This window comes from Homo sapiens, chromosome 6 (genome assembly GCF_000001405.40).
Source record: "Homo sapiens chromosome 6, GRCh38.p14 Primary Assembly".
In the NCBI taxonomy this organism is placed as follows: Eukaryota; Metazoa; Chordata; class Mammalia; order Primates; family Hominidae; genus Homo; species Homo sapiens.
Genome location: NC_000006.12, coordinates 45,409,856 through 45,436,324, shown reverse-complemented (window position 1 = coordinate 45,436,324; position 26,469 = coordinate 45,409,856). Strand labels below are relative to the sequence as shown.

Genomic DNA, 26,469 nt, shown 5'->3' with positions numbered 1-26,469 from the left:
CTAAAATTAATGCTCTTTTTTTTTTAAATATTCTGTCACTTGGCCACTTCCTTAAGTGGCTTGATCACTTGCCATTTAAAAAAATTAATAAGTAATTTATTTCTAGATGCGTCCCAATCAGCTCTATGTGCCCAAGAAACAGTAAACATAAATGGACTAATGCAATATCTCAGGATGATGAAAGCATCTATTTTTAAAGTGTCATTGATATATTTTATCCACTATATTGGCTATTACACGGATTTAAATAATTTATAATTGGTTAGCAAAGAGAGGCTTTATTATAAGCGTTAAGACTAACCAGAAGAATAAACCAGCCAGGAGTCTAAACTAGTTACAGAAAACTAAAAGCCTACAGAATTAGAAACCAGAAACTTGAATAGGAAGCCACTGGGTCCAAGTTAGAACCTCAAAACAATGGAAAGATCGCAAAAAGTAAAAGAGCTGAATCTCTAGATTGAAAGTTAATTTACACTAAAACATTTTAAAGTGCCATTTTGGGGTCAGATTAGTGGTCTATGGGCCCAGGATTGCCTTTCTAACAGTGGCTCCCATGGCTGTGTTTCAGAGTCAGTTTTCATCTATGGCACTCATCTTAATAAATCAAGGATATATACAGATCTCAGTTATCCTTAATGTCTCTAAATAACCTGGTAGAAAGATTGTCGGCTGGGCGCGGTGGCTCACGCCTGTAATCCCAACACTTTGGGAGGTGGAGGAGGGCAGATCGCCTGAGGTCAGGAGTTCAAGACTAGCCTGGCCAACCTGGTGAAACCCTGTCTCTACTAAAAATATAAAAATTAGCTGGGCGTGGTGACGCACGCCTGTAATCCCAGCTACTCAAGAGGCTGAGGCACAAGAATCACTTGAACTCAGGAGGCGGAGGTTATAGTGAGCCGAGATGGTGCCACCGCACTCCAGCCTGGGTGGCAGAGTGAGACTCCATCTCAAAAAAGAAAAAAAGATAAAATAGATTGTCCATAAATTTATTTAAACCAGTTTTGGTAACAGTTCTACTTGAGACCTTTACAACTTACTTAGGATATTAAAAGTCATCTATGCTTCCCCTAAATTCAGGGTGACGCCTCATGTAGGAACAAAAGCCAAAAATAAAATTCACCCTTCAAGTATAAAGCATTTAAATTTTCAGAGTAGAATGAGTTCTCTATAAAAAACTGCTTTTAAAAAGAGATGGGTTTGGGGGAGGAAACAAGTAGTTAAGTATAACTATGATCTGCCAAAATCAGACCCTAAGGATCAAGATGTAATTAACAACTACAGCAAAAGTGAATGAGGCTCCTTCTGCTTCTTATTGCCCCTTCAGAAGAAATATGTATGCAATGTTGAAGAAATTTTCAGAAATTACCAACCAATTTAGTAATTGGTTCTTCATCCTATAATAATAATGCACCTCTTAAGTCAAATGTTTATGTGGGCATTCATGATTTCCTTAAATTAATTTTTTCTCAAAAATCCCCTTTTTATCACTTTCCATAAGTGATAAAATACAGCCTGTTATTTTAAAATGTAGGCTCTCAAATAGGGAGCTAGCAGTCAGTAGATAACTAATTGTGTCATCCATGGCTTCATCAGGAAAAAGAAAGCATACCAAAAAAAAATTTAAGGACCAAAATCATTTTAAACACTTCTCTTTAAAAGATTAAGGATAAAAAAAAGGAAAAACCATGAAAAACCTTAAGCCTCTCCTAACTTAATGCAAGTTCCACTGATGCTCTACTTTTATTCTAGCACTTTCAAAAGTTGTGGTCATAAGATGACCCATAAAGTCAAAGTCAGTAGTGACATGACTCCTTTATAATCTAAGATTGTTTTTCAGTTTCTGAGAGTTTATGTTTCTACCAGTGGAAAGAAAAAAAAAAGTGCAATATTTGAGGAACTTGGTGTTTTTTTATAACACTACTGAAAATAGAAATATTTAAAGCCGGGAAAGAAAATACAATGGTAGCAGCATGTTGATCCAGACTTAATAGCTTAAGAGAAATGTAGAAGTGTGAAAATCAAAGAGGAAGCTGGAAGAGTCTGTTATAAAGCAGGTCAGGTACAAAGGGTACAAAGGCAGGTTAAAGGGTTTCCTGCCACTGAAAAACTGACCCATTTTTTTTTCAGAGTGTGATCTGTTATCAGTGTTCTCTGTCCTTTTTTCCTCTTCATCTCAGCTTGATATTACTGTTTCCTTTCATACAATGTTAATGCAGTGATATAAAAATATATTATTAGTGATAAATCAATTTTTCTTTCTCTCTCCACCCACTCCCCCTACCCCCCATCTAAGTCTTGAAGACAAGTCTGGACCAATTTCTCCATCCTGCCTCTGGCAGCAGACTGTAGCATTTCAGATCCTCCACCAAGTCCCGGCTGCTTCAAAGGAAAAATCCTACTTTCTTCAGTTAAGATCATAAGAAATATAGGGGGAGGGGGTCAGCTCTGTTTGGACATAATTACACTTCATCAAAAGAAGCTTTCTTCATCTTCCATGCGTGAAAAGTCTGCAAGCAGTTAAGTCTGTCTTTTTTTTTAAATATAAAAATTGCTATTTGGGAAACCAGCCAAAACTCAGAAAGCCAATATAGTAAAACAGTGCACACCCTTTGTTTCTCTTTGAAGTTTCTTAAATAAATATGTTGAGGGTTTACAAAGTACACTATCACTTTGCCATACTTTCTACTTAAATTGATCAGAAAAAAGTTATGCAGCATCTATATAATACAAAAGTAAGATAAATGAAAACACTAGTTTGAATCTGTAATGTAAAATTAAGCATGGCACCCAATCCTTTAAAAACTAAAATTCATTACTCTAGTTAAAAAAAAAAAGTATTATTACATAAGAAGAAAGATGCAATTCAGAGCATACAGGTAAATCATCATGTTCACATTTTTCTTGATTCTAACTAGAAAAAAAGGAAAACTTTAATTGCATAGTGGACCTGCATAAGTAAATGAGAAAAAGGAAGAATGAATACACACACACACATACTCCAAACCTAATCAGTCAATAGTGATATAGGATGTGTCTTTTTTTCTTCTTTTTATGAAAGTTAACTAAACCTGATGCAGAGATAACTCCCTTAGTTTTGATTCTACCGGAGGCTGTGAGCCTCATTTTATTTCAAACAACATGTCAGTGACAGTATCTCATTAGCATGAATCATTTTTTTTAAGTTAAAAAGTACAACTTCTTGGCCCTGTTCCTAGAAAGTAAACTAACACTACTCATCGGAAACAGCCTTGCTTGAATTTCCCTTATCAAGTTTTTACAATGGTAATAATTTGACATCTGATCCAAACTAAAGAGCAATTATTAGACATGGTTTAAAAAGTGGTGCTCCTCATTTCCTATTCAAACCTGGGTTGCAATGATTCCATAAGGCTTTATTTCACCTCAGTTCTAAAGTGGTCTATTTTCTTTCTTCTTATCAAAATACTTAAAATGGAAATATTAGATTCAGTTAAGTAAATAAATAAGCATAATGCTTCTAATAGTGAGTAACTAGTAAAAGTCTTTCTGTAGAATAAGTAAATAAAAGCCAAAATATTGGCCTCCTTAAAGACTTTTTTAAAAAACATTAACCTCATTTATCAAACAGTTACAAAAACCCTAAAAGGGATAATTTTCTATTTAAGGATCTCTAATTTTTGAATATGGATTCAGATGATGGGAATCCTTACATAGTATGGAACTATTAATATTAGAGTACTAATCATTCATCTGTCTAGGCAACCTTACATAGTCACTCTAACATAAGTAATACATTATTCACTTATTCAAATGAAAAGCCTTATGTTAAAAAAAAACCATGGTTTTTAATAAATTCTTACTATGAGAGTAAATTAAATCATATAGAGGTAACCTGTGATAAGTGAAGAGCATTATGCCAGCTGTCCTTGCTACAACTTAGACCAAAATTGATATTACCAGGAAATTGATCCAACATATCCATTTTTCTTTCCCCTTTACCACTCAATTTACTCAGTTATTTGACTCCTCATAATTCAGAAGTTGATCCTCCAACTGTTCTTTTCTCTACCTTATATGCTCACACCCAGTGAAATTAGGAGCTAGTTTTTCTGAAAACATTGTTTGAATTTTCAATATCATAAAATAAATGAAAAAGGCCTGAGTACTCAGAAAAACACTCAACTTCATCTGGATGTATTTAAATCAAATCTTCAGTAATTCTATTCAGAAAAAGAAGGTGCTGATTTGTATACAGACTAGTCTACATTTCATCAAAGGAGCCTAATGTGCTTATTCTATTATCAGTATCAAAAGTCAGAGACCTACCTCGTCCACTCCGGCCCACAAATCTCAGATCGTTGAACCTTGCTACTTGGTTTTTCATAACAGCAGAGGCATTCCGGAGCTCAGCAGAATAATTTTCATCGTTACCCGCCATGACAGTAACCACAGTCCCATCTGGTACCTCTCCGAGGGCTACCACCTACATAAAACAGGAAACACAGCAGCAATAATGGCACATCAGAAAGGCTTACAAACAGAATATATTCTCATTGCAAATGATGTGTCTTATCAGGACTTAGTGTTCTAGTCCAGTCCAGTAATGGCCGACAGGAATGAAGCATCTGTGTATGGGTTGTGATGCCACTTCAAACAGACCAATGTTTCAGGGTCCACCCATTTCAAAGGCAGGCAAAAACTTCTTTCATTTGTTGTTGGATTCTTCACAGAAAATATGTACATTTTTATTAAATCCCCATGTTAAGCTGTCCGTAGGAATTATGCCACAGAAGGAAGAGGGATGCCCCATCTGCAGATTGCATCATACAGATCAAGGCACCACCTGTCTGCAGGCTTTCTCTCAGGGAGAGCCCTGAGGTGTGGTCTTATCCCATCACAGGCTAAAAAATATCAAGTCTGGTCAACTTTATGGGAGAAGATTTTTAAGTGAAACCCTGGGGCTCCTCACTACATAGAGCCTAGATATCGTGTAGTCTGTTTTATCTCCTTACTTTGGGCTAGCACTTCAGCTTTTAATAAAGTATATTTACTGAAAACCACACTGCGGTGGGACCCAGTGTGATATCCAAAGTCATCAAGAAACTGAAGGTGAAAATAATTGATGATAAATAAGAAAAAAACAATATATACCCTTAGCCTCAGTTCTATTATGTCTTGTGTCCCATCTGCCATCCTGGAATGACATACTTGACTGCTTAATCTTCAACAGTTAATCTGAAGCAAATTAACTCAATCAAGAAAAGATCTAGATTAATCCATCTTTGGAACAAACAAACATTTTCTCTGCTCTAAGACTAGAGATAACACTTTAACCTGAGTCAGCTAACATGCAAATGTGTGCCTTTGATTAACACAGAGCCCAGTAAGGAGATGCTGGTGCAGATCCTTCACTGTCATATATGAAACACTCCTCCTAATCCATTGCCAAGATCCTGCCCCTTGGTAACAATCCCTTCTCTCAACGAACTTCCAGGACTCTATATTCAGATTATTTCCATGTCTTCCTCATTCAGCTTCCAGATGCCCTCATGGTAACTCAGCAATGACCGCAGCTCAAGTAGCCCACAGCTGTCTGACAATAATACCCCTGTGTGCTTGCCTGTCTGGTGAACCTCCCACTTATCTTTTTCTCCTTCTAGTGCTACTCCCTCCTTTGTCAAGATTTCCATAAGACAAACCTAAGCATTTAATTCCATGTTCCCAATACAATTGGCATATTACAGTAGATTTCTTAACAGTGTGATAATACACACTATACCTATATTTTAGGGCTGAATTTCCCCCATCCATGAACCCTACTGCAACACGCCTTCACTATGTCCTCTCCTCCAGCCAGGAAAACAATCAAACAAAAAACTTGTCAATATTTTTGTCACCCTTACTTTTCTCTTAGGCTGTTTCTCAGTTCCATTCCTTCCATTTAGTACTGTGTTATTCAGTTCAAAATCAATAAAGCCTTCCTTAAATTACAGGCCCCACTTTCCCCAGCCTCCCAATGTACTCAAGTGATCCTCATTTCAACGTACATATGTTAATATTAATGGTCTATGACTACTTTAAATATACCAGGCCAAAGCTGAGGGACTCACTCCTAGGAGTCCAGATTATATGAGTTAGGAAACTACACGAGAGAAGGGCCTTCATCTCATCTGTCTTGTTCACCACTTATCAACCCTGCTCCCAAAAGTGTCCAGCACATGGTAAGTGTTTTATTAATTTTTTTTTTTTTTTGAGATGGAGTCTTAGTCTATCACCCAGGCTAGAGTGCAGTGGCACGATCTCGGCTCACTGCAACCTCCACCTCCCAGGTTCAAGTGACTCTCCTGCCTCAGCCTCCCGAGTAGCTGGGATTACAGGTGTGCACCACCACACCTGGCTAATTTTTGTATTTTTAGTAGAGAAGGGGTTTCACCATGTTGGCCAGGCTGGTCTTGAACCCCTGACCTCAGGTGATCCGCCCGCCTCAGCCTCCCAAAGTGCTGGGATTACAGGCGTGAGCCACCGAGCCCAGCCAGGTAAACATTTTTGAAATAAATGAAAGAGCTCCATAAAGAGCCCCACTTCGCAGAGACAGAAGTCTGTGGGGCTACCCACTAAAACTCTGAGAGGGCCAGTTAATGTTGAGTCAGCACCCCTTGCTAACAGCAATGTGCCCTTGCCCCCAGCTTGTTTTCTGACATTGTTTTCATCTCAGAGGAGACGGAACCATGCTGCCTCCCTTTCCCTGGAGAATATAGTTATTCTCAATATGAGAAGTCTCCTGGATCAAAAGTAAAATCCCTTGAAAATAAGACTTCCTCTCTGTACACGTCATCTCATATCTCAAGCGGCTACTGAATACAGGTAATGCTGTACTCCTGATGGAGGCAATGTGCTTTTCAATTTTTCAAATTCACCATGCCAAAAATGTGAACATTTGAAAATACTGCAATAATTGACTACATTCGCCAGGATTCATCTGAATGTTTGACATTTTGTACACTCAGCATATTGTATTTTAACACCTGCTGCGTGGCTTTCTATGTCAAAGTAAATATGGACCCAGTAAGCATATTAATAAAGGCAGGAGAAAAGTTGTACTGTTTAGAAGAGAATGAATATACCAAAATCAAGAGGCTCCACTTTTTCCCCACTTCTGCTACATATCTGCTATGACCTCACACAAAATAACTTCATCTCCAGGAACCACAGTTTTCCAATATGAATTGGAAAGTCTGCAAAATGTAGAAGATACTATATAAGTATAGAGTGTAATTATAATGATGTGCTTTTTGTAAGATGAGGAGGGTAACACAGTGTTCTGTTCCAAATCTGCTGTCTGTTAAACATAGGCTTTTACTTATAAGCATTCTTAAAGGGTTCAACTGAGTACGTACTTCCTCACTTCATGTTCTGAGATGTTCTTTGATGTTGTTGAGAGATACAGGATGACTGCTGGTGGATTTCACTCAAGTCTGGCTACATTTCCGAAAAAAAAAAAAAAAAAGCAATCTGCCCCAATATAAAGGTTTTCAAGAACTCTGGGACATTATTATTTTACTGCATATTTTTAACATAATGAATTTTTTTTTAGTTAGAAGAAATGGAAAATTGATTCAATATGGGAAAATATGAAAGAAAAGATCCCTAAGAGTGAAATACATACATCCATTTTACTGTGCTTAAGCAGTATAATAATGACCATATTCAATATTAGTGTGTTTTACGTATCACATTTTACAAAACAAATAAATAATCACAAGTTGTGTGAGCCTTCTATGAGGCTGAGAGCAAGACCTGAAAAAAAATGCTAATGCAAGGTAGTGACAATCTTTCCTGTTAAAGCTGAACTCTAGTTTAATGGCTAAATATATTGGTTTTTTTTCTGCTATTCACTCTACCAAATCAGATTGCCCGATGTTTTTCTGAGGGGGAGAAAAGGTTGGGAGTTGGGGGAAGTACTGTATTTGACTTTATATCAATCAGAAGTATAATTATATGTTTGAGAGGTTTTTTCTTTAAGTAGATCTCTGAAGCTAAAAAGTTTCCCTTGGAGATTCTCAACTGTGTTTATCTAAAAGAAAACCAAAAGAATCAAGAAATTTTTACACATTTCATCTGTACCAAAACCAAGCAATGGAAAAACATTTGAAGGGGTAAAGTGCAGTCAAAACTCGCTCTTTAACTAGTTAGGAATAAGCACAAATTAGAATTTGCTTCCATCCTACCCAATACAAAAGTACTGCTCTGCAAAGAATAATTTGTGATGATCTTAACAATTACATTTCTATGTTTTTTTAAAATATAAAATCTACAAATTCAAGAAACTCCATGAGAAAAGGAGAAGTAATTTTCTGTCCTGACATTTCAGAATAGAGAAAGACGTTCCTTTATTTAGCGCACCTCACCATAACTAGCATTTAAATCACATGATATGTGGCTTGCACAAAATAAAGTAGAAGGATATTTAACTGTAGTAATGCTATTGAAATTTTGTATGAGACTCCTTATGACTAAATCTGTGAATCACTAAAAGAAGAGGAATGGAGAATTAACTCAAACCCTTAAAACAGTTTCTCATCTTTTTATATGGAAATTAAAATTGCCTATGACATTTCCATGGACAGAAGTCTAGTCTTAACTAATCAATTACTCTTATAGGCCAAAATAATTCAGGATATTGTACTTGCGGTATAATTGAAATATAATTATTTTTCAAGATAAAATCTGATCAAATCTTTCTTTGCAATAAAAAGAGAAGTGAGACTAATTGCAAAAAGCAAAAATGTTATTCCTATCACAATTACTTAAAGATAACTTCAAATACAGTATCAAAACATTTCAACAAATACTACAGTTAATATTTTGAATTTATCCTAGAACTTAGGAAAAGCCCATTGAATTTTAGAGAAAAAACACAATATGTCATTTCATAATTTTAAAAATATATATGTCAAAGATAAATTTTGATAAAAATTATTTCAATGTAAAGCAGCAATTTGTGGGCCATGTATCATGGTGGTTTAGATCATCTAACAATAGATATTCTGGAATTTTGAAAGGATACAAACAATAATGCCAAAGAGGAAAAAATAATGAAAGATATCTACCATACCTATTTTCAAATATTTAATAGAAGTTTTCTAAAAAATTTTATAAGTATTTATTTTCCACCTGAAATTCTTTGTTCCAACTTCCTTACTTAGAAGTTTTATATATTCAGTCCCAAAATATTTAACTTTAAATAAGTTTTCTTGAATTCAAAGGCATAACACAAAAATGTGTCTGTCTTCACACAACTTGAAATCTATTGATTTACATAATTTTGCATAATAATTTATATTACGGTTAATAAGGATTTAACAGGCTTAACAACCTATTTTCCCTAGTTTAGATACAATGAGATTCAAAAAATATAAACATAAAATCTGATCATTAACTATGTAAGAAAAATACTACTCACTGGTATCAAGTATTTACCAGTTGTATATTTGTTTTCGAAGAGAGAAAAATGGCTAGTGATGCCAAAAATTTATTTTCAAACAGAAATTGCTCTGTCATTTTGAAACCCCTCCTTTTGACAAGCACTGAAAGGTATTATTAAATATACAGAATTAACTATGAGTGCTAGCTTATATATCTAAAAATGTGTTTTCTTTCTTTAACACTGCCAGAAAAACATATGATACTGATAAATATATGTAGTCCAGTGTTCTCTAACTTAAAACAGCAGAATAGACTTGAACTACTTTTAGTTTTAAAATATACATCTGGACTTAAAATTTCTGCATAGTGTTTCAGCTTGAAGCTATTTAAGGCAACTAAGTTACGAACCCTGAACACCAGGCTTCACAGTGGAAATGCTGACAGACCCCTAACTAAAAGGGTGCTACTGGATGCATGGTTGACACGCTCTCTCCACCGTTACCTGACCATCAGCTAATGAGCTGAATTTGCAAATTACTTCTTTGTCACTAGAATTATCTAGGATAGAAAGGGTCTGGGATCCTCTAATAGTATGCCCTAACTATTTTAAGGTTTCAGTGAGATACACCTGAAAATGTTAAAAATATTTATTTCCGTTTCCTTGACACCTGGGGGGACCGAACATTTCAAAACTGCAGAACTTTGTTAAAAATACAATGTTAATAAACAACTTTATATAAAGTATACCAGTTGTTTTTGCATTTTTACATGTAAAAATAAATAAATTTTATATCATCTCGAAACAAGAGTAGATGAACAACGCTAATACATTCTTAATGAAATAGATTGACAATATCGTGTTTAAACACGAGTTTAAACTGACATTTCAAAACAGTCTATTGAATTCATTTCTGATTCTCTGCGGTGTCAAGCTCAGTGTGACAGATACAAAATACGGGCTCAATAAATATTGTATTGATTTGAATATCAGACTTCACAACAAATAAGTTGTGTGTGTGTGTGTGTATGTGTGTGTTTAAATCCATTTACCTATCTGCTATTGACCTGACAACCACTATAATCTATTTTTTACATAGCTCTAAATATCATGGCCAAATTGCTGTCACCACTTTTAAAAGGGAGACTTCTTCATATTATTTCTTCATTGCAGATGTATTTGATTATATTGTAAGAGTATAGAAAGTCTAGTGCTCTCAGGCTTTTATTCCAAAAGTAGGGTAAAGAGAGGTTGTCACAATCTGGATGTTCCAAACATCCATACATTTTTTCTCAACAGAGTATTTTCTATACTGAGTAGATCTTAGCTATCACCCACTTTTTGAATTGTTTAACACAGGTATGTTGATAGAAAGACATTGACAGTCAGGTTGTAGGTTAACTCAATTCATTATTCAATTGATATGAATTAAAATAGTCAATTTAATATGGTCTTGTTACCTACGGTCTGTTTACTGCTTAAGATACAAAAATGTACTCTGTGTGATTAACAAGTTGATTAATAACAAAGAGCAAAATTTATTTTCAAAATAATTTTTAAAGGGTGGTAGTGAAAAATCTTAGATGACAGCCAAAATATCTGAGACTAGCTCAAGCTAAAGTGCAAAAAACAACCTTTCCATCCAAAATGCTCATGTTCAAATCAATTCAGCCGCATAAATGCAAGAGAACAGTTCAAGATAGACCTTAAATATGTTTAGCAGAATGGTATATGGAACACTTTAAAAATGTAAGCATCTGTTCTTATATTTTCACATATTCTGATTTGTGGCATTGTGCAGACAAGGTATCTACTTATTTGTATTTTTTGCTGTTTTCATCCAGGTTTGGGGTTTTTGGGGGCTTTTGGTTTGGGGGATTGGAGGGCGTTGGTGGAAACAAATTTCCATTCTCATATAAGACTAATTTAAAAATTCTGGGCCCTTGGACGATGGACATTGTAAAAGATATATATTGTATGGAAATTTAAATTTATACAATTCACATGTATTCTGAGCTTTTCCTATTTCAAGGAAGCAAACATTAACCTACAAAATGGGTGGTTTATAAAAGGAGAAATGTGACGGTTAAAAAAAAAAATTTCTTGAGCCAACTGCAAAATGAAACTTGCCCCAGAATGCAACATCCCCTTTCCATAACAATTCATTCTGATTTCTGTTCTGATATAAGTCCTAGCGAGATAACCAGGTCTAATTGACCTGGACTCCTCTTTCTTTCCATCCCACCCACACACGGAATCTGAATTGGTGCGTGGGGTGGGGGTGATCAACAACTGGGAACTGTCAGTGGCCCGTGGGAGTTTGGCCCCAGGGTCCCCAGCGGAGAAACTGGCATGATTCCTCCCCCAACTTTTTTTTTTAACCTCCCCCAAGGCCTTGCTTGCCCTGCTCTCCACAGACCTCAGAACCCAGGGGACCCAGGCCCACCTACTCAAGTTCAGAGGTTAGCAAGGGCCCAAAGCACCTTTCTGAGAGTCTCATCTCCACGTCTGGCTTACCACCCCTGCATCCCTGGCGTCTTGCGAGTGTGGACAGTCCTGCGAGTGTGGACAGCCTGGGAACCCGTTTCCCCATCAACCCAGTGTGCGCTGGGCCCTGGGGGCTCCGCGTCTCCCCCCTGTAGAGGGCTACCCCGGGAAATCTGGATCGGGTTATGGAGAGCCATCGGGCTACTGTGAGAGGCTCCAGATCCTAAAACCTCAACCTGCGGAGCACCTGCCTGCGACTCCCGCGGCTGCCACCCGCCCTCAAACTAACGGGCCGGGCAGGCACAAGAGTCTGCGGGGCGCGCAGAGGCCGCTCTCAAGCCTTCGAGCTCACTCCGTGCTCAGGCCACCAGCAGGAGCCTCTCACCACCTTTCAGAAGCAGGAGGGATCTTTTTTAGATTTAAGTCCTTTAAAAATAATAATAAAGCAAAAATACAAAATTTCACCTCCGTTTTCAAGTTGGGCGAACTAAAGTTGTTCCACAGGTTTCCCTCATCCCTCCCTGGCGGGGCGAGGCGCAGAGCTCGGTCCCGGCTGGAAGAAGCGGCCCGAGCTCCCGCCCCGTCCCCTGGCCCGCGCCTCCCAGCACTCGAGGGTTCAGCGCCCAGGCCCCCTGAACGCCCCCGCTTCGGGGCTTGCGGACGCCCCAGCGGCCCCGCCTTCCTCCCGGTAACGGGATCTGGCGCGGGTCAGCGAACAGAGCAAACGCCCCCGCCCTGACACCCCCTCCTCTGGAGACCCTAGGTTTGTCCAGGACCCTCCCGGGCACTGGTAGCGCAGCCCGCGCGCCTCAGTCAGCACCCCACGCCCAGCCCCGGGCACTAATGCCCGGCACCGGCACCCCACGAATCCCGGCACGGGAGCCCGGGAGGGACCAGGACCGCTGAACTCTGCGGGTCGGGGAAGGGGACGCCGAGACCTGAGGAGAGGCGTTTGGCTGTGAGGGAAGCGGGTGAGAGCGCGCGGAGCCCCAAAGAGAGGCTGCGCGGGCAGCCCGCAATGCGGCCAGGCCGGGATGTCCCGGAAGGACGCGGGAGCCCCAGGGGACAATGCCGGGGATCCTCGCCCCCGGGAAAGGGGCGGGGTGGAGCAAGTCCGCTCGCAGTGCAAGAGTGGGTACTTTGGGGATCCTGGGGGAAAGGGAGACGGCGCGAAGGAGTGAGTGAGAATCAAGGCCAGGCAGGAGGCATGAGGAGTGCTGAACGGGTCAGGGGGACTAGGGCTGAAGTCGGGGTGGCAGCGGGCACAGGTGGGAGAGGGAGGGATTTGCGCGGAGGGACTGAGCCCCGAGCCCGCCAGGGCATCCGGAGGGAGGCCCGGCCGGGGGTTTCTGGGGTTAGAGCCGCCAAGGCAGGAGGTCTTGGAGGACGTCCGGGGCCCAGCCCCGTGGGCAGGAAGACACCGGCGGGCAGGTTCCGCCGCTCCCGGCCGGGGGCGGGGGGCGGTGTAGCCTCTTACCTTGAAGGCCACGGGCAGGGTCTTGTTGCAGCGCCAGTGCGAGGGCAGCACCGAGCACAGGAAGTTGGGGCTGTCGGTGCGGACGAGTTCGGCCGGGTGGTCGGCGATGATCTCCACCATGGTGCGGTTGTCGTGGGGCGGCCGCAACCGGGGCACTGCAGCTGCCGCCGCCGCAGCCGCCGCCGCCGCCGCAGCCGCCGCCGCCGCCTCCTGCTGCTGCTGCTGCTGTTGCTGCTGCTGCTGCTGCTGTTGCTGCTGCTGCTGTTGCTGCTGCTGTTGCGCAGCCACCACCGGGCTCACGTCGCTCATTTTGCCGGGCTGCAGGCTGCTGGAGGGGGGGCTGAAGCGCCGGCTGGTGCTCGGATCTACGGGAATACGCATCACAACAGCCACAAGTTAGCGAAGTGGCCGGGGGAGGGGGAGGAGGGTGGAAATGAGGGGCAAGGAGGAAATTGGGGGGGTGAAGGCGAGACGGGGGGAAAGAGGATGGAGGTGATGGGGCTGAGGAGGTGAGAAATCAAGTTTGATGAGGCCGACTGCCGGGCGGAGTCTGATGGGCCAACAGAGTCTGGCGATGCGGCGCAGTCGGGCTGGCGGGTAGGGAGACCCGGGAGGCGCAGATCTTTGCCGGAGTCTTTGGAACACCCGGGGTGGCAGCTGCGAACGGGCGCGGGGGTGTGTTTGGCCTGGGGAGGCGGGGGACTTGAGTTTGCAGCTTGGAATGGGGTCCCTTGGGGCACCGCGTCCTGGGTGCGCTGGCGCCCCCTCCCAGTTGGAGTCCGGTGGTGAAGCGGTGTGGGTTCAGCAGTCCAGCCCCGGGGCCGGCATTGCCGCGCGCTGCCCGCCACCGCCGCGCCGCGCCGCGCGCTGCTACCCAGCTGCAGGCGGCCGCGCCTCCGCCCTCCCGCGCCGCCGCCTCCGCGGCGGCCGCCGCTCCCCCCGCGCGGGCTGCACGCTCAGATTCCTCCCGCGGCGGCTGCCAGCCCGGCTCCCCGGCTAGGCTCCTTCCTTTCCCTTCTTTTCTTCTCGCCCTCTCACAGCCACCTCTTTGCATCCACTCCCTCCTGCAATTTGCAAAGCTCCCCTGTCTCTCGCGCTTCAAGGTGCCAAGAGGTAAGTCGTGGGCAGCGGATCTCGGGGCAACGAATCTCGAGCCTGCGAATCGCAGCCGCTGCCGCCGCCAGCCGGCCGCGAGAAGGAGCCCCCCGCGCGCCGTGTGCAGTTTCCGAAGCCTAGAGGCGGCCCCAGACTAGGGGCAATCTCGCCAGGTCGCGTCCTCTTGCTCTCCCCACCCCTAGGACAAGGAACCCCCTCTTTGTAGGAAGAGATTGAAGCCGAGACACCAGAGAGCCCCCGGCTGATCTGACTGTCGCTATTTTTCGTTGTAACTTCAGGAGAGGAGGAAAGAAAATTCTTGAGCCTCTGTGCTGACTTCTCAGCACTCTTCACCCTCCCACCTCTACCCCCACCTCTGTCTGAGCGACTCCCAAGGGAAAAAGATTTTGCAGGGTTTGGGTGTTTTTTGTTTTAAGTGACACAAAAAAAATGAGGAGGGGGGGTGGAGGGAGATCTAGTCAAAATAGTTTTTAGGAACTCAAGTGCATAGCTGGACATTTCTTTTTTCTTATATATTCAATCTTGTCATTCCTAGAGAACAAGAATGAGGTGTTTGTTTGTTTGTTTTTGTTTTAAGGACTGAAAAACTGTCAGCTTTGTGATTAAAATAAGTTGCAAAACCCTTGCTGGGGAAAAGCACCAGCCGTTTTCCATGAATTTAAATATTTTATTAAGTCTATTCTACATCTAAGACTAAGTTTCGTGTCTGTCTTCCCCAGCGCTCACGGGGAAAAATTAAAAATACGAACTAAAAAATTCAAAATGCTTCCGTGGCTGTTTATTTATGTATTTATTTCCTAGTGTGGGTTTAAAAAGCGACTTTGGATCCCCCAAAAAGTTGTGGTCGAGAGGATGAAGGAGCGCGGAAAAAAAGCGGCACTTTTTACCTAAAATGTGGTTTTTGGAGGCTGGGATTTCTAATGATTAGGTTTTTGTGGTTTATATAGACACGACTCTGGCTAAGTCGATCATTACGCTGATGAGAGTCAGAGCACGTGGGTGTCTACGACCAGCCTCAAACTCTGAGCCTTCAAAACAAATAAAACAATGTGCTGCGCCCGCAGAAGCCGGGAAATCCGCTTGAGGCTATTACACCCCAAGAAGGGGGCACAGGGCCGTTTTACCCTCGGCGTTGTGTACTACTACGTTTCTTGCTTATTACCAAACTCTTTAAAGCCTTCCAAAGCTTGAAAACGTGTTTGCGAAAAAAATCATCAGTTGCCAAAGTTTCAAAGATTCCTAGTGGAGTAGCTGACACAGTAACAAGTGATTTTATAAAATAAATGAAGAATTAGAATGCCTCCCCCTCGAAGCATCAAGGAAGAAAGATGGTTGGGTCATCTCTCACGCCCTCCCATCTTATTTAAAGCAATTCACATACCCATTACTGGGTGTTTTTATTGCTCAGTGCAAACGCCTCCCTCACCCTCGTAGCGACCTGCCACGACCCTCCCTGTCTGGTTTTAGAGCTTTGCTCCCACTCGCTGAGCCCACGCCCGGGTCTGCGCCCTAGAAGGGGCCTGGAAGGGCTCTGAGAGCATGAGGGGCACGGAAGATGGGGGCCTGGTGCCAGTCGCGGACTCTGGAGCCCTTTCGAGTACAAGATGAGCTTGGGGGGCTGTGGTTGCGTGACTCGGGATCGCCCCGCTGAAGAGATGCGCGGGGGACTGAGGGTCTGCCAGACCGCGGGAGCAGAGGTGGGGGTGCGGGGTAGCCAGGTGTGCGCTCTCGAGGGGTAAGGATGGAGTTCAGGGGATACTACTCTGTCCTTCCTAATTGGGGCTTTATTTTTACCTGCCCTTCCTCCATGCACTGCTCCACGCCTCCCTCGTCGGTCTTTCCCTTTCCCACGTTTCTCTCCACGTTCCTGCCTCTTCCCCAAATCCCTCCACAGACACTAGCCCCAAGCCGCGCCCCTCCCGCCCCACAGCCGCCGCCTGCCACTGCCACCCTCGGTGACTCCGAGAAGCGATTCTGCGCCACCGGCTATGACACCTGGTCCCCAACCTACTCTTCGCGCCCGGCCTACTGGCCTCCCAGCCCGGGCGCCGCCAGGGTGCGAGAACCCATTTAGCCAGACCGGACCAACTGGAAGCGCAGCCAGGAGCTGAGCTGGCTCCTGCGCGTGCGATTTTTAATTATCTTTTCGGTCACAGGGGAGAGCTCTAACCCCGGGCACCGCCGCGTCCCCTGCGTGCACAGGTCTCTCGAGTCCCACAGGCGGCCGATCCGGGAAGGGAAGCCAGGCTTTCGCCTCAAAAAAGAGAGAGAGAGACTGCATCCATTGCTGTCCTACCTTACACGTCCACTCATGTGCACTCGGACACACACTCTTGCAAGTCCACACGCAGACACACATAAATACATACACACTCATAGAGTCATGGCTTTTTTTTCCTGCCTTTTTTTTTTCTTTTTAGGGGGCTAGTTTTACTTTGGGCATGTTGTGCCACTGTCTAACAGAGATCCCTGGCTCGTTTTTTGTTTTTAAATCTGTGGGGGCTGCAAAGGGGGGAAGCAGTTATGGGAATTGATTATTTCTATGGTAAAAGTGACACCAAAATTCCATAACTACCATGGTGGGTGATATGCCACCTTCTCTGGGATTGTCCTCCTCCCAGGAAGTCCATAGAACAGAGAATTCCTGGAACTTTGAAGACAATAAGAAACAATTAATATTTCAAATATGGACCACCAGAGGGGCTTTCCAAATAAAAAATTCTAGAATTGAATTTAAGAAGTTACCTTGGGGACTTTTCCTCCTTTTTTCTCCATCGCTGTTTTGTCCTTTGTTTTATTTGGTGGATAGCAAACTATGCAGTCCTCAGTGGTTGGGGATTTTAAGGGCAATTTAATCAATAGTGAGATTATTTATTTTAATTAATCATATCTAGTAACTCAGCTTTATGGCCTTTCTCAGTATCCTTCCTCCATTTCACATTTCAGTGGAACTAATATAAGCAGCTCTTGGAAGTTACTAGTCTTGGATCTCTTAAAATATCCTACAGTTATTTATAATGTGGAAATGAAATTTTCCACTGAATACCCTAACAACGTTTCAGGTATCTGGCACAGTGGGTTTTCAGTCTCCTTTCAAAAACATCCTTTTGCTGAACATTCACACTTTCGACTGGAACTGACTGAGCCTGGAGCTGATGATGTCTTGGCTCTGAGCATTATGCTTAAAGAAAGAAAACATTTTTACAGACCCCTAAACCAAACCTCTCCTGTTAATCGTAGGCACATAGGAAAACCATGAGGTTTTACATATGTGTATTTTGTGCTATAGTTTGCTTGATGTCATCTTTGGGTTTAGATTTTCTACGTCAAAATGTTTGAAACAAATCACCCACCCTATTTCTCTTCAGAAATATTCATCTTTTCAGTTGTATGTGATGGCACTAAAAAGTATACACTTTTTTTCTGAAAATGTGGCAACTCTGGAAGATACAAACATAATCCCACCCACCACTCCCTACCATGTCCTTTAACATTTAACATAACTGTTTAGTAACAACACCTGACAATTCTGACTTTCTAGACAAAGAAAATGAGATGTGAAGCAGTCAGGTTATTTATCCAGTCAAAGAACTGACTGGGAACAGAACCCATAGGCCTTTTATCCTGGTTTCCTTTTCTAACCCCCATACATTATTTTATATATACTTATGATGAAAAGTAGAATAAGTCCCTGTAAAATCTTAAAATATTTTTCAATGGACCAGCTATTAAAGTGGGAAAACCAATGGAAAATTATGGGCACATTGATGATCCCTAAAGCTTTGAATGTCTCATATGGGAAAACTTTATAAACAGAACGATCTTTGGAGAATTTTCGTTTGGACTCTGATTGACAGAAGGTTACTCAGCCCTTGAAGAAGCAGCATTGCCACTAGACCAGGAGTCGTCATACTATGGCCCATGGGACAAATTTGGCCTAATGCCTGTTTTTGTACAATTCTCAAAGATGTTTTTTGCATTTTTAAATAGTTGAAAAATTAAAAGAATAATATTCATAGTACATGAAAATGATATGCAATGCAAATTTCAGTGTCTACAAATAAAGCTTTATTGGAATATACCTATGGTCAGTCATTTGTGTATTATCTATAGCTGCCTTCACCTAAAGCAGAAGAATTGGGTAGTTGTGACACTGTACGAGTCACAAGGCCTAAAATATCTACTGACTTTTTACAGAAAAGTTTGCCAACCCTTGCCCTAAAGTGAAAGGGATGCAAGACCATGGAGGAGTGAGATAGCAGAAAAGAGTAGATATTTTATAAAGATACTGGAATGGGTGTGCATGTGGTTCAGATTAGTTCTCTAAAAGTGAACAACGTAACATTTAACTTATTCTTTTCTGCATAAATTGTTAATTAGATTAATATTTTTCACTTAATAATTTTGGAGGTGCCAAAACAGAAAGAAAAGAATGAGGAGCGAGTACATTTTCACAGGCTCCTTAAGAACAATTTTCTTACACATCTCCATATGTCAGCATTTTCCATTGTCCTTAAAATATAGTGGGAACACATTAACTGCATAGATGAAGAAGAGTGAAGAAACTCTCATGTAGTCTGAACATAAAAAATAGGTAAGGTTTTAGTAGGTTTATTCCAACTGTGTTGCACATGATTACACAAGAAACTCAATGAGCTTACCAATAATTTTCTAGTATACAATATATTCGTAAGACCTATATACAGTTTTCAGACAGTTAGCTTAGTAACTTAAGTGATCCCAAAGCTTTTTGACATATTTTTTCCATTTTAACTTTTTATACCGTTAAATACTGTCTGATTTGTTTTAAGCTCAGTAAATTTTTCCCATTGTCAATGGACCTATAATAATTTGCATGGCTGTAACAAGAGATGAAATGTTTGTAGTGGAGGACTTAGCATCATAAACCTTTCCTTGTTGTTTTAGTTAGCATTCCCAAGGGCCATATTCAGGCACTTACAAGAGAGTACAGTGTTGTCATAAAAAGGCTGACACTTGCCATATGACCTTTCAGAACCACATTCATGGAGCATCTGTGTAATTACTCTTCAGGCATGGTACTGACTAAAGAGGTATATATTTTGTTTGACTAAAATACCAACTTACTAAACGACACCCTAGTTACCTTAAGAAACCAATGTAATTTCTAAAAAGAGCCTAATTCATTACCCAGGAGTCAGAGAAAACTAATTTTCTCAAATCAGCCTTCTGGTATTTTGGTGTTGGCAATTGTCCTATGGCAGTAGCAGTGATCTTTGAGCAGCAGTGGAATGTTATATATAAAAGTTTACAGAGGTCTGTGATGAAACTTCTAAGAACACCCTAAAATTAAAGATTTCCTGTAGTAATTCAGCCATTCTTTACCCAGCTGCTCACATATTGCCTTTAAGTCACCAAGGAAGGTGCTATCCTATTCTAATCTCACTGCCCAAGGTTCCAAAGTTTCACTTTAGGCATTAGGGCAGTGACTTCAATTATTTGTCCCCTCCCTACACCCTGCCATCAAAGTGAAAAATGTAAATCATAATACTCTCAGTTCATCTAGTAAAGTACTAAAAATATCAACATTTGCACAGTGTGAGAAATTTGAATTACAAACTAGCAAAGTAAGAAAAAATAGAACAGAAAAAAATAGAATAGTAAGAGTTCAACTTGGTTCTATTAGCTGCAATCCTAGGGGATGCCAGTTATTATAAGTCACCATTCTAAGTTTTTTGCTATTCTGGATTTCATACTCAGAAACCGTTCTCTCAGTGTTTTTCCCCATGCTTTTCTAAACTAGACTTTTCTCAGAGAAAACAATTTCTTCTTCCCATCTAGTCATAATCAATTTCTAAAAGCAATGACTCATCTTTTCTGACATTAGATGATTCTCCTGAATTATCTTCGTTATTGGCAGGATCTTTTCCTGACTCATATTCCTATTAGTGACAATATTTCTTCCAGATCATTTTTCTTCCCTAGGTGTGCCAGTTATCAGTTTATTGTCTTGCAGCTCCAAATTCACCTTTTTTTACCTGCTCTGTGAAAATGAATCCGGATCCATTAAATATTTCTCTTTATCAGTTGGCAATCATGTTTTGTCGGTGGGGACGTTAGAAAGACATTGCAGGAGGAAAGGGTTTTGCTTCCTGGTTAACTTGTGCTCACACAGCAGTTTCTGCAGTGCAGGACATATAGATTTCCCAGCTCCTGGCTCCTGAAGTGCATACATACCCACATCTTCTCCAAAGCCCAGCTGCTGCAATAAAGCTAGCTTTTCCAGTGCCAGGCTCCTGAAGCACCGGTAGCCAGAAGTTTCCCCCAGCACCCTCCCCTCCTGGGCTGTTTGTAGCAGTGTGGCTCTGGTGAGGCAACTCCGTGTGAACAGCCTTCCCCAGCACCCTAGAGAGCAGATCTGCAGCAAGCTCTACTAGCACAACTTCTCTGCCACCCAGGGAGCCAAGGCTGTGCAGGGTCTGGATTCAGCCTTGGTTGAGAAGAGGGGAGGACTCTTACTTTGTTGCTGTATTTCAGCCCTGAGGGTAGTGGATGCTGTTATTCCTGTATTCTTTAGAGTTATTTTTAGTTCTTCCTAGCCAATTCCTTGTTTCTCCAATCCTCTGTTATAGTCAATAATTCTTCACATTAAACTTTTCTTATTCAAATTACTATATGGTTTCTCTGTCCTCATTGGACTTAGACTGATATGCTAAGGTTTCCATTTTCTGATCCCCAAGACATGCCTATTCATAGTGGTTTCCATTTTGGATCACTCCACTGGGGTAATTATAAGATGAGGATTTCCAACACCATATCACATCTATTAAATGATTTATCTCTTCCTAATTATAAGCCTATAATTAGAGGACATATATTTTAAAGAGAAGAAGATGTAGACAGAGAGTATAGATATGGCTATTTTAAAGCACAGGCTAAAATTGGTCAGTGTTTCTTCCCACAGTCGTCCTGACATCTTCCATGAAATCCCATGATCTTATGTCCATACTGAAACTAAAATACACATAAACAAAATCCTGGGCAAAAATTCCAGAGCTGCCTTATCACTAGATCTGATAAAAAAAAAAAAAAAAAAAAAAAAAAAAAAGCCAGGATCTGGGAAGGTGGAGAGATACCTTACAGAATCAGAAAAGCAAAATGCTACTACCACCAAGGAAAGAAAGGGAGCAGGGCTAGACGATTGCTGCCTTATTGCAGTTGAAGTCAGAGACTGGGTAGTGCTGTGACTCTATGATAAAATAAAATTGGGAAAACGCTGTATTAAACAAGATAAACAGACTTCATATTGTCAATTTTATCCCAGATTTTAATATGCTACATGCATTTTGAATCTCCACTAGACGGACTTACAAGTTTGTAAATACAGCATTTACAAACTTATTTAATTATTGCTTCTAAAGGAATTTAAAGGTCTTTGAAGTATTTTTAGAAAATACTGAGCTAAATCAAAGTGGGAAAAAAATGTGTTGGAACATTAAAGGGACCGTTCTGTCTAGAAGGGAATATTGTAATATAGTGGAGAAGTGAAGTTGGCTTGGCTACAAGCAGCCAAGCCAAAGAGGGCCTTGGTACCATGATTCCCACTTTTGTGCACATTTACAAGAGGGAGAATATTCATGTTGCTTCTAGAAGCCACAATCTTGGTCTTTTCCTCGCTATTACAGCCCATTACCTTCCTTCATCTAAAAAGGAGAGTTGAATGAAAGTTTCTCTGGGCATGACTCTTCACTCCTCTTGAGTCCTCATTAAGATGAAGCAGAAGAGTTATGCAGGTGTGGGAGTGGATCCCCTCATTATTTAATACTTTGATATTTTGTTTATCATGTATTTATTGGTATTCAATTTCATTTTTCAGAATATTCCATTAAAATCATATCTTGAATACTAGGGTTTGTTTGGAACTCCCTTAAGTTTTGCCCCTAAGGCTAGCTAGGGCCTCCATCATTTCATCTCATCCTGGCCCAGCCCTAGGTCTGTGGGTATTGAGAACTTACCGAGTGATTTCAGGCTTCCTTGCTTCATTACGAGCATCTTTATTTTTTTAATATGTTATTAAATATAAGTACAAATTGCAATCACTGCATATTCTTCCACAAAAGAATGTATCTTTTAGGCCAAGCTCTGGTGGCTCATGCCTGTAATCCCAGTACTTTGGGAGGCCAAGGCTGGCGGATCACAAGGTCAGAAGTTCAAGACCAGCCTGACCAACATGATGAAAACCCATCTCTACTAAAAATACAAAAATTAGCCAGGTGTGGTAGCGTGTACCTGTAATCCCAGCTACTCAGGAGGCTGAGGCAGGAGAATCACTTGAACCCAGGAGGCAAATGTTGCAGTGAGCCAAGATCACTCCACTGCACTCCAGCCTGGGCAACAGGCTGTCTCAAAAAAAAAAAAAAAAAAAAAAAAAAAGAATGTATCTTTTAACTTTCTGTATCTACTTGAAGTATTGATAGCAGATATAACAGAATTTTGACCTTCACTATGTAAGGGTGATTGTGTGTGTGTGTCCTGTGCTTACCTGGTTATCACTCTTTAACAACAAAAATATGGATTATCTGCTTATTACTATGTAATTTTAAAGAAGTAGACATTCCTGTTTTGTTGTTTCCGTCTGTTTTAGAATTGTCTTTGATTTTATTTAAATACATTGCAAACACATTACACTTGGGGCTTATTTTCTTTCATTCCCATAAGTGTATCTTTGATGTTAAATTAATTAGATTCTCCTTTAGTAAATAAAATAGATTCCATTATCAAATCTTTACAAGAGTTTAAAAGAGGCAGTTCCCGCCAGGCCTAGTGGCTCACGCCTGTAATCCCAGCACTTTGGGAGGCCAAGGTGGGCTGATCACTTGAGGCCAGGAGTTTGAAACCAGCCTGGCCAACATGGTGAAACCCCGCCTCTACCTAAAATAAAATACAAAAATCAGCCGAGTGTGGTGGCACACACCTGTAGTCCCAGCTACTCAGGGAGGCTGAGGCAGGAGAATCACTTGAATCTTGGAGGCGGAGGTTGCAGTAAGCCGAGATTGTGCCACTGCACTACAGCCTGGATGACAGAGCGAGACTCCGTCTCAGAAATAAGTAAATAAATAACAATAAAAGGGGCAGTTCCCACCAGTGCCACTATGAAGGTAAACTTTTACCAGAGTAAAAAAAAAAAAGTAGGAAAAAAACTGTTTTTTTAAAAAAAGGTTATTTGGCCAGTATTCTTTCCTTTGTCAATGCAGTTATTTTTCTCTGAATTCACATCTTTGCCCAGAGAATATATTTATTTCTGTTTCCTAAGTGAAACCTCTTTCTACAGTTTTTGATGACTAGGTTTGAGTCTTAACCATGATATACTGATTCTCTGGCTTTTTGAAGTAGGGATTTTTCACATGCCTCAAAATCAAAACCCTTAGTTTACTTCTCATACGTACAAAAGAATCTTAGCAAGTCTTCTTTTTTTTGGGGGGTTTTGTTTTTTATTTTTTATTTTTTGAGACAGGGTCTCTCTCTGTCACCCAGGCTGGAGTGTACCGGTGTGATCATAGCTCACTGTAGCCTCAAACTGTCAGTCTCAGGTAATCCTCCTACCTCAGCCTCCCGAGTAGCTGGAACTACAGGCATGAGCTACCATGCCCGGCTAATTTTTTTTTTTTTTTTTTTGTATTTTTTATAGATACTGGGCATGTAGCCCAGGCTAGTCTCAAATTCCTGGCCTCAAGCGATTTTCTGGCCTTGGCCTCTCAAAGTGCTGGGATTTCAGGTGTGAGCCATTGTGCCCAGCCTCAGCAAGTTTTAATTCGGATTTTTACCTCAACATTTAGACCAGATTTATATGTACATAGATAATCAACAAGTCTAAAATGCTATTGAGTGACATTATTCTTATTATTTTCAAGTAAGATATCCTACAGTAAAGCACACTGAATGAGATGTTCCAGATCTTAAGCTTAATGCTTACTATTCTCCAGGATTACTGGAAATGTGGGTTGCATCTAGTAGTTTCATTGAATATAGTTTTTTTATTTATTCTGTTTTTAACTTGCTTCACTGGTGTTTACCCTTACTGAAGGAAATTATTATAGTGTGCCCATAACTACAAACATGAAAACTGGTTGAAGTGTTATAACTTATTATAATATATAGTCCTTCATAATTAAATTATGGCTTCTCTGATGCTGATGGTATTGGTTCATACAAAAATAAATATCTTTTTTTCAAAGGCTTCTCTGATAAAATTTACACTGCAACAAATAAAAAATAAGAGAATTACCAGAAGTATGATGCATAAGAAGCATAACTCATCTTACATTAGCCTTGAAAATTGAAAGCTTTTCCATTTTCAACTTTGTTTTGCTAGCATTTACAAACTCAACCATAAAAATTCCCTCTAGGCAGAGATATGGCAAAAATATTCCAGTTCAAAGTCAAACTTTCTATAGAATGTTTCTTATTGTCAGTGTTAAAATTACAAAATTGAAAAAAAAATTGTTGGCAAGTTGCTTTGCACTTGTCACTGAATAAAAGGGGGGAGACTCACATCTAAACACGTTAAAGTCCAAACAATCCGTCAGTCATTTTTATTAGACATATATGAAAAGAAAAATAAATTAGTTTGAATTCATTTACTTCACCCTTAAAATTGTTCTATTATGTGAAAAACCTTTGCGGTCTTGAAAATTTTAATATGAGTTACTCAATTTTCTGAACTTCTCAATTGTAGAGTGTGCAATTTGGAGCCATTGAAAGAAAAAAACTTTCAGAAGGTTTATATTGGAGTGGAGACTTGGTCTCTTCCCTTTGAACTCCCTTCCAGGAACAGAGCAACAGGACCACATGTAAACTACACTTCTTCTCTGCACATCCTAAAAGATTGGGTAGACTGAAAAGTGGGAAGTGCACTGGGAAGCCTTTTTAACTAACTCACTATAAACCCTTAACCAAGGGCTCTAGACTAACATGTCCAGTGGTTTCATAGAAATTTCCATCTAAACATTCCATAAACCCTTCAAGGTCAGCATGTCCAATATGCCAAACTAATTGTTTCAGGTGAAAAGAAAGACAAGGGGCAACATGTAGGTTCCCAAGGCTCGGTGCACAGTCCTTATTTTTTTTCCGTCTTGGTTAACAGTACAACTGTACACAGAACTGTGTGCTCCTTAACCGTAGGAACTATGTCCTATCCACAGAAAATCTGGAACCACACGATTGAAGAAGTCTGGAAACACCATCCCTACCATATTCCATGTATATACCACGTGAATAGTGTCCCCTGGAGCCATGTTAACATGTTATCCCTAGATAGCCCCCACAGTCAGCATAAGTTCTGGCATGTAGCATGTGATCAATATATATTAGTTGATGAATGAATGAATGAATATATCCCCTTAGGTAGAAACTTAGGTATCATGATAGACTAATCTTTTCCCATTATTTTCTACTTCTAGTTTATCACCTGATTCTATTAATGCTACTTCTTGAATATTATTCATATCTATTTTCTTTCCATATCCATTGTCACTGCTTTAGGTTCAGGCTTTTATCATCTTGAACTTCAACTACAATGGACTCCTAACGTGTCTCCCTGCCTCCATTCATGCCCATCTCAATCCCAGTCTATCCTCCACATTGCCATCGGCATTCTCTTTTTAGAATACAATTTCGTTCATTTTGTTGCATTGCCTAAAACTCTTTAAGTGGTTCCATATCATCTATCATACAAAACCCCTTCATGTCCTGGCCTTCCCAAGTTATCACTACAGAACTATGAGTATAGAGTTTAAAAAGTAAAACCCAAATTTGAAAACAAATATATCTTGTGAAAAACCTCAACCTACACATTTCCTGATATCTCTTGCCCCAAACTCAGACTCATTTTTCTCTTTCCTTCATCAGTGCTACAGAAATTTGCATTTACCTCCATTATTGCACTCATCACCTGAATAATCTGTTGACATATATGCATTCCATATAGAGTGTAAGTTCCTTGAGAACA

General features: G+C 40.9%; 1 protein-coding gene and 1 long non-coding RNA gene across 5 annotated transcripts in view, besides 5 other annotated features; one reads left to right on the top strand and one right to left on the bottom strand.

The window, feature by feature from the left end:
* RUNX2 (RUNX family transcription factor 2) overlaps positions 1-26,469 on the bottom strand; it is a 222,753-nt gene that overhangs the window by 114,758 nt on the left and 81,526 nt on the right. For 2 of the 4 annotated variants that reach the window (NM_001024630.4, NM_001015051.4), the window contains exons 3-4: positions 13,368-13,732; positions 4,306-4,462 (exon numbers count right to left, since the gene is read on the bottom strand). In NM_001024630.4, the coding sequence (NP_001019801.3) occupies positions 4,306-4,462; positions 13,368-13,732 (522 nt within the window). Of the gene's footprint in view, positions 1-4,305; positions 4,463-13,367; positions 14,051-26,469 lie in introns of those variants that run through there. The other 2 variants (NM_001369405.1, NM_001278478.2) reach the window with 1 other exon arrangement.
* Positions 13,524-13,574: a repeat instability region, noted in NCBI's record as "repeat instability region; expansion of the polyalanine-coding tract are a cause of cleidocranial dysplasia". NCBI's record gives the evidence for it as "EXISTENCE:nucleotide sequencing assay evidence [ECO:0000219][PMID:9182765]" and "EXISTENCE:polymerase chain reaction evidence [ECO:0000082][PMID:9182765]".
* Positions 13,524-13,646: a biological region, named in NCBI's record as "runt related transcription factor 2 polyalanine expansion region".
* Positions 13,531-13,575: a tandem repeat, noted in NCBI's record as "imperfect repeat".
* Positions 13,578-13,643: a tandem repeat, noted in NCBI's record as "imperfect repeat".
* Positions 13,578-13,646: a repeat instability region, noted in NCBI's record as "repeat instability region; changes in the polyglutamine-coding tract can disrupt the gene product, resulting in cleidocranial dysplasia". NCBI's record gives the evidence for it as "EXISTENCE:nucleotide sequencing assay evidence [ECO:0000219][PMID:9182765]" and "EXISTENCE:polymerase chain reaction evidence [ECO:0000082][PMID:9182765]".
* On the top strand, positions 14,109-15,246 carry LOC124901324 (uncharacterized). The gene is made up of 2 exons (XR_007059602.1): positions 14,109-14,480; positions 14,666-15,246. It is a non-coding gene; the product is annotated as an uncharacterized LOC124901324 (long non-coding RNA).